Source organism: Homo sapiens, chromosome 4 (assembly GCF_000001405.40).
Source record: "Homo sapiens chromosome 4, GRCh38.p14 Primary Assembly".
NCBI lineage: Eukaryota > Metazoa > Chordata > Mammalia > Primates > Hominidae > Homo > Homo sapiens.
Window position 1 is genome coordinate 22,878,305 of NC_000004.12, and position 7,783 is coordinate 22,886,087.

At 37.7% G+C, this 7,783-nt stretch overlaps 1 annotated feature.

Annotated features, from left to right (window-relative positions):
* Positions 5,699-6,301: an enhancer, noted in NCBI's record as "OCT4-NANOG hESC enhancer chr4:22885626-22886228 (GRCh37/hg19 assembly coordinates)". NCBI's record gives its function as "activates a minimal SCP1, AML or CMV promoter by ChIP-STARR-seq in primed H9 embryonic stem cells {active_cell/tissue: H9 hESC(primed)}" and the evidence as "EXISTENCE:reporter gene assay evidence [ECO:0000049][PMID:30033119]".

The following is a 7,783-nucleotide window of genomic DNA, read 5'->3' on the forward strand; positions in this document are numbered from 1 at the left end:
ACACAATGCACCTAAGACTCCATAAAAAATAGTCACTAATGTCAGTTCTAGGGGCATCAATGCTTACAGGGGATTTGTTCCCCTTTTGACAAGAAGGGAACATTATCAGATTGAAATAAATCCGAGGCACATGGAGTGTGGAAATGATATTTACATTTACTCAGTAAATTAATTGAGGTAAGAAAGGTATAATTAAATGAGGAAAATTGTCATGCAAAAATCAGCCCAACTCATAAGCTCAATAAAGGTGTTTGAATTTTGGTTCATCACTCACATAACAAATAATGATCTGCATTCTCGTTTCAAAAAGAGTAGCCATTTCACCTAGATAAATAGGTGATAATATGTTTAGATACCTCAGTTTTAGTCTTTGTCCAGTCACATATATTCACATAATCTTTGTTAGATCACTCATCCTCTCTGAGAGTTTGTCTCTTTCTCCAGATTAAGGGAGCACTCTCAAGTTCTGTGATAAATTTCACTAATGGATCCTGATGCCTGCATTTTTGGGCAGAGGGAAAAAATAGCCTGATAAATTTTGGGCTTCTTAAGGGACTGATTGACTCTGTACGTATCTAAATGAGATTGCTAGAGAGCATGTTGATGATTTCATAATGTTTTCATTTTACAACTGTTGCACACCTCTTACCTGAGTGACTATTATGGGAATAAACTGGGAAATGCAAAACAGAACTTGGCCATATAACAGCATATAGGAGATGGATGGTGTCTATTTTGATGGTAAGGGAAAAAAGCCCAGGAAACCTCTTAGAGGCAGGAAACAATTTTGGAAGTGCTACAAAAGACAATGATATTGTTCTTGGTTTAATAGGTGATCTGCCCCATGAAATAAAGCTGCAGGGCCACGTTTGTCTTGGTTAATAATGTCAGCGGAATGAGGATGTTTAGCTGTAATAACAGTAATAACTGTGTCAATGTAACTGCTGGGGCAGAATTTCCATCTGCAGCCTCATAATATATGACCTTTGTTATGCCTCTATCTGTTGATTTTTTCAAGGCAAAATTGGCTTGTCTGTTCTGTTCAGGGGATAGAGGCTCAAACAGTCCATTTTTCCCTGGATAAATCAAGGTCTTGTGGGTGGTAATTTAATCTCCCAAGTATCATTTTGGACTTGATTAAAATCACAGAGAAAGAAAGTTGGGCATTAACAAAATACATTGTTCATTTGATACTGAATTAGGTAGGTTTAAAGTAGGACATTTTATTTACTTCTTATCTTTCCCTTCATTACTTTCCTTTTATTTTTTTTCTCATAAAACAAATACTGACATCCACATTTTCTTCCTATGACACTTCCCCTGAGCTTTCCCTGACCTCCCCTGATAGAGTTAACCATTCTGTACTCCTGGAATGTGTTTTTCTTTTTACACTCTTCATACTGTTTTGGCAATACATTTGTTAATATATCTTGTCTCCATCAGTGGTCTGTGAGGTCTTTGACGGTAGAGGCTAGGTATTGCGTATCTCTAATCTTTAAAACCTAATATGGATCTTGGTTGATGTTCAATGCTTTCTTGAAGTACAATGAAATATTCTGCTTGATGCATTTTTAATTCCAAATGTTTTCACATAATATATGCTCATTTTCCTCTCCCAATCATTTAATGCTGTGCTTAGGAGAGGTGACATACCAGAATAAGAAACAGATAAAGTGAGGAGGTCAGTTGCAGGTTGGTCAGATTGCTCAGGGCTTCTTGACTAATTAGTAGTGAACCCAGGGTCAGAGCTCTTGTTTTCTAATAATTAACCTTGAGCTTGGCCCAGCCCATGTGGGAATGGTAACCTCATGGAGCCTTTGGCATCATTGTTCCCCTTTACCATGCTCAGGCTCATACATCACTTCACCTCCTTTCTATCCCATCTTCCATCTACCCATTTTGCTTTTTCTATTCCATCCACTTGCTAATTTTATTTTTTACTTTCTTCCATTTTGTTTCTTTCACCACTATTGTCTATCAGCCTCTTTTTTCTCTTTTCTCCCATTCGAGGCCTTAAGCCTGTCAGTGACACATCCTGAAAGCTATTGCTTAGCTTTAAAAACCATGTTGAGAGTTTCTCTGGCAGGCCTCATCTACATGATTTATACCTATGCCTCAGAAAGTTCTTGGGGAGACTAAAAATTACACGTAAAGGGCTACCAGACAATCATATCTGGATGCATTGTAAACACTTGATAAATTTGCCAATTACATTGGGCTCTTATCTTCTATTGACTTCTCTCTTTTTTAGTATCCAGTTAAACCCACTCTGGCCTTCAAGACCCAGCAGAAGTTTCTCCTTCACAACATTACTCCAGAGTCCCTCTGGAGGTCTCAGTGTCCTCTGAAATTATAGCACTGTCTATACATACCCCTGGCTAGTCGTATGCTGCCTTATGGAATCTGTTACATTGTCAGTTTCCATTTTTGTTTATTTTTGCCCTGTTTTCTCTGCTACACATACATAAAACACATTTGAATGTCCATGATGAGCAGCACTGTATGCTATACTCTGTGGGACAGCTGACCTCAAAGAGCTCATGACCGTGGGATCATTTCTGATTATGTTCATATTTGCTTGGTGCTTTCTAATGGCTTTCCTGTGCATCTTTGCCTCACTTCTTTTCCCATGTTTGTGTCTCCTAACTCTACTAGGTGGGCAGAGAAATATTCAATCTCCCCATTTTATAGAGGATCAGGCTGATCTTCAGAGAAGTGAAAGAAGTTGTTCTAGATTCCATGACAACCCAAATGTAGTGACAATGATGATGATGATGACAATATTGACACATTACCGGCAGGGATACACTTATTCATTCCCTGCTGTTTTTGTGGATTCTTTTAACCAATGAATTTCCTGGGGGAAGGCTTTGAAAACTTCTTCTCTCTTTCCAGTTAGCCACCAGCCAGTGTGTTGATTCAAGTTTCTCATTACCACCCTGATATGACAGTAAAAACTCCCGCAGGAAGATCTGCCAATGATTCCAGCCAAAATTGAACAGTAGCTATTTGAAAATCCAATTCCAATGCTGATTTTAACCATAAAACAACTACAACATCATGGACCAATTCACAGGTAGAAACAAGAAGGCTGAAGAAAGAGAGTGGACAGCAGGAAACACAGCAGGAGACAGTTAGGATGCAAAATATTTGTATCTGGTGCTTTTGGCCATCCCTTTTAAAGCTCATATTGACAGTTTCCTCTATCTCAGTGTTCAGAGCTTTGTACTCTTCTAATGTAAGACATTTAAACCTTTGTTCCAATTTAGGTCAAAATCACTCAAGCAGAACCCTGAGTTAATGTGTAAATTTTTCCCTAGGGTGTCCTTCATTTTGGAATGAAAAGCTTAGTCCCTTCTTAAGAGAATTTCAGGCATTAGTGAGCAGGCTTTAGAATCTTGGGAGGTGGGGGTTAGCAAGAAGAACTTTCCAAGTATTATTCCAAGAAAATATCATGCATATGAGTAGAGTATACTCTCTTTTGTCTTTTTTGAGTTTTGATGTTTCTAATATTCTCTATTATTCAACTATCTGTCTGTTAGTCTGTTATTTGTAAAGGGAGAGAATGGAACTTTGTTCTTGTAGGTCTCTTTCAGCCCTTACGTTATAAGACTCTAGGATTCCCCATTTGCTCTTATCTCCTCACCGTTCTTTCTAAACCCCCAACATCTTTGTTTATGTTATTATTATTTTTAAATTATTACTGATATGGTTTGGCTGTGTCCCCACCCAAATGTCATCTTAATTTGTAGCTCCCATAATTCCCACATGTTGTGGGAGGGACCTGGTGAGAGGTAATTGAATCATGGGGGCGGTTTCCCCCATACTATTCTTATGATAGTGAATAAGTCTCATGAGATCTGATGGTTTTATAGGAGGTTTCCTCTCTTACTAGATTCTCATTCTCTCTGGTCTGCCACCATGTAAGATGTGCCTTTTGCCTTCCATCATGATTATGAGGCCTCCCAGTCATGTGGAACTGTGAGTCCATTAAACCATTTTTTCTTTATAAATTACCCAGTCTTGAGTATGTTTTTATCAGCAGCATGAAAATGGACTAATACAATTACATAGTGGAGTTAAAAAAATAAAAATAAAAATCTCTTTCCTTTTCTCCCTCCTTCCTTCTCACTTCCACTCCTTGCATCCATTGTTGACCGTGTTCTGAATCATCAGTCATAAGCAATATCTATTGATGTCCCCCCATACACACACCTCTGGAAAGGTATGGAAATAGTTTACTATCCACCCCTTCTACATTCCTCTTCCTAGTTTGTAAATCAATAAGGGGTTCGTCTTTAATTTGTCTATCGGTTGCCCTTGTAACTTTAAATAGTATGCTTAAGCTTCTATTCCTTGGTCCTTCAACTCTAATAAGACGAGAACTCTTGTTTTTGTTTTCAATTCCATTGGTAGAAAATTTTCTCTGCTGGAGTCATCTTGGTAACAGGCCAGGCCTAGTTTTTGTACCGTAGATCAGCACATCCAGGAAAACAACCTGTCACCAGATGGCCAATTAAAACTTTAGGGGTAAAGACACATTGGAAGCCAATATTATGGAAGGTTTAGTAAAGTTAAAACTGATAAACTCAGGGCAAAAAAAAACAACAACATGATAAACAGTAATTGGGAAAATCACTCACTTAAAAAAGAAACACTATCCAACAATTAGTCAAATTAGCACCTCTATTGATTCTTGGAAGAATTTCCTCCCATTTAACCTACTCAGATCAATTAGCTTGGCATCTGCCTCCAACTTCATATATCAATATAACTGTTTTCTCCCCAGCTAACTGCTACTTAGGAGACAATGGAGAGGTGGACCATTTTACAGGACAATAACATGGTTCCTGGAGAAATAACTCGGGAGACTGAAGAAATCAGATTTATTTCCAAAGAAAATGGTACATCCCTCCCATGGTGCTTAATACACCAGTGGTTAAACAATTAAGTTTATTTTTGGGTACAAAGTTAATTACTTTGAAAAGGCAGTGATGCTGCCATTGACAAATACTACCCTTAAAACCCTCAGAAATAACAAGGCAGTCACCCAGAACAGCTAAAATGGCAACATTTGACATTTGGTATTGCAGGAATTACGGTCTTCCTGCAAAGTTACCTGATCTTTCTCATCTTAATTGAACCTTATCAGGGCAGGCTTTAGAAGTTATCTGGAGGTGGAGTCTGAGAACCCCACGATTTTCCTTGTTAGGACCAGTGAATATTCCCCAAATGACTGTTCTCCTCGATTAGCTGTCAAGCACCTTTCTCTCAATTGTTAAATCCCTTGATTTTAAATTCTATTTAGGAACTAGGCTGGCCCCAAATGTCAAAGAACACCATCATAATGGCCAAAGAGTGAACTGAATCTTGGTTTGCTTTCTACAAAATTTAGATCCCTGTTGGAAGCAGTAAATTACAAACAATAGAAAAGTAATCGAGCACATGTGTTAGACAATGTAAGATTTATATGGCCATTAAAAATAACGCTCTGAAATAATATTTAATGATAATGAAAATGCTGGCAATAATATTTAGTTGGAAAAGGGCAGGATACAAAACTACCCTGGGAATCTAATTTATTTAAAATAGGTGCATATGGATCATCATTAAATAAAAATGGATTTGAAAGAAATATTCTGTGTTTATCACAGGATGGTGAGTTTATGGATGATTTTTATTTTTTCTTTATACTTTTCTGCATTTTCCAAGTATCAAAAATATTCATTTAACACACATATCTTTTATAGTCTGAAGAAATAAACTATTTTTAAATAATTAAAAGAACATTAAAGGATTAGACATTTAAGGTTTTAGACCATTTTACCTCCAACTATCATAGGCAAAGAGCAGGATATCTCCACATTTCTCTTCTTTTTGTGGTTAAAAAAAGGCTGATACCTACTTCTTGCCACAATGGGACATAACAAAAGATGTCAGGATCATGCCTGCTGTGGTTTGAATGTGTTGTCTCCAAGAGTCAGGTGTTGCCATTGTGATGCTCTTAAGAGGTAGGGCCTTTAAGAGGTTATTAGTCCATGAGGGCTTTTCTCTTGTTAATGGGATTAAGGTCCTTAGAATAGAGGCTTCTGGTAGCAATCAGCTATCTGTTGCCCTTCTGCATTCCATCATGTGAGGACACAACAAGAAGGTCCTCACAAAATGCCAGTACCTTGATTTTGGACTTCCCAGCCTCCTGAACTATGAGGAAACATTTTTGCTCTCTACAAATTCCCCAGTCTGTGGTATTTCATTATAGCAGCACCAAATAGACTAACACAATGCCTATAAAAGCTTTTATTTCCTTAGAGAATAAAAAGTTTATATACTCTTCTAATAATGTATTTCCTAAGTGATTGTGGGTCAGTTAAAGACCCAGCAGAAGACAGACAGAACATATCATAGAGAAGGGTTCAGTATAGGTCCTATTTACAAAGGTGGTGTCAGACTGAAGGGCAATCAACAAGGATGGTGGAACTGCAGAGAATGCTAGTTGTAGGAGAAGACCTAATGACAGTAGTCACAGTCTTTGATGTGATAGGCCAGATGGAATACTGCAAAGCAATAAAATGTAATGAACTATTGATAGACTCAACAACATAGATACATCTCAAAATAATTATGTTGAACCAAAGAGTTCATACTCTATGATTCCATTTATATTAAATTCTAATGAAGGTAAAACAAATCCATAATGACAGAAATGAGATCAGTTGTTGCTGGGGCTGGGGAGATAGGGACTTGTGGCAAGAAAGAAGTAGAAAACATTTTATGGTAATAAAAAGCTTTCTTTCTTGATTGTGGCAGTGGTTACACAGGTGTACATTTTTGTCAAAAGTCATCAAATGGTATGAGTAAAATGGATTTTACTGCATGCAAATAGATTAGTTAATAACAATTAGGAAGCCACCTCCAACAAGTAGTTCAGAGAATAAAAACCAGAGGTACAAGATGCCAGTGTCCTTCCCTCCTGCTCTCTATTCTCTTGCTTCTATCTCTCATGGCTATCCCACCTGGAAGCCAGATGGGTTTTGAGGCAGGCTTTTAAGATCAGCCTTTCAGAGCCCAGAGCAGAGTAGAGAGTAGATCTCTAGGAGCCAGTGGAGAATGTCCTTCAGATTGTTTCCGTGCAGTGTGAGTCCCTTAACAAACCACTGGGAGAAAATGATTAGGTAGGAAAGTACCTCTTGGTTAACAAACTTGCAAATAGGACAATTGACAACATAGGTCAAATTGATTGAGGACCCTGTCTATACTAGGAAAGTACAGTGTGATATTGCAGAAAAATAATCCATGATGTATCCCTCTCTTTCCTCTCAACACACCTAGAAAGAAAAATCTGGATGCTAGCAGCTTGAAACTACTTTCTCAGGTGGTTATGTGCCCAACTGCAGAACCTTCTGCCTGAGAGTCCCAAGGGACTTGCTGAGCACAGCCATGCTCATCTTTCTGGATGTCAGCATCAAAGGTTAGGGCCTACTTTACACAGCCTTGTGTCCCACGGTGACTCATTAGGTGTCTGTAATCCCTTTATATGCATTTATTTAATATTTTGTCTGCTGCCACCAAGTTAGGAGAATTGATATCTGAATTCAATAGATGACTGAAATGTGGCATCATATATATTTCTCAAGGCCAAATAACATTTTTTAAAAGTTATGGAACATTTCCAAGTTTAGGGAAATAAAATGCAAAACATAATTTTAGCATTTTTGGAAACACTTAGTTTAGTAAGAATACTTACCCACTTCTATAAAATAGTGATGCATACATTGATGCTATT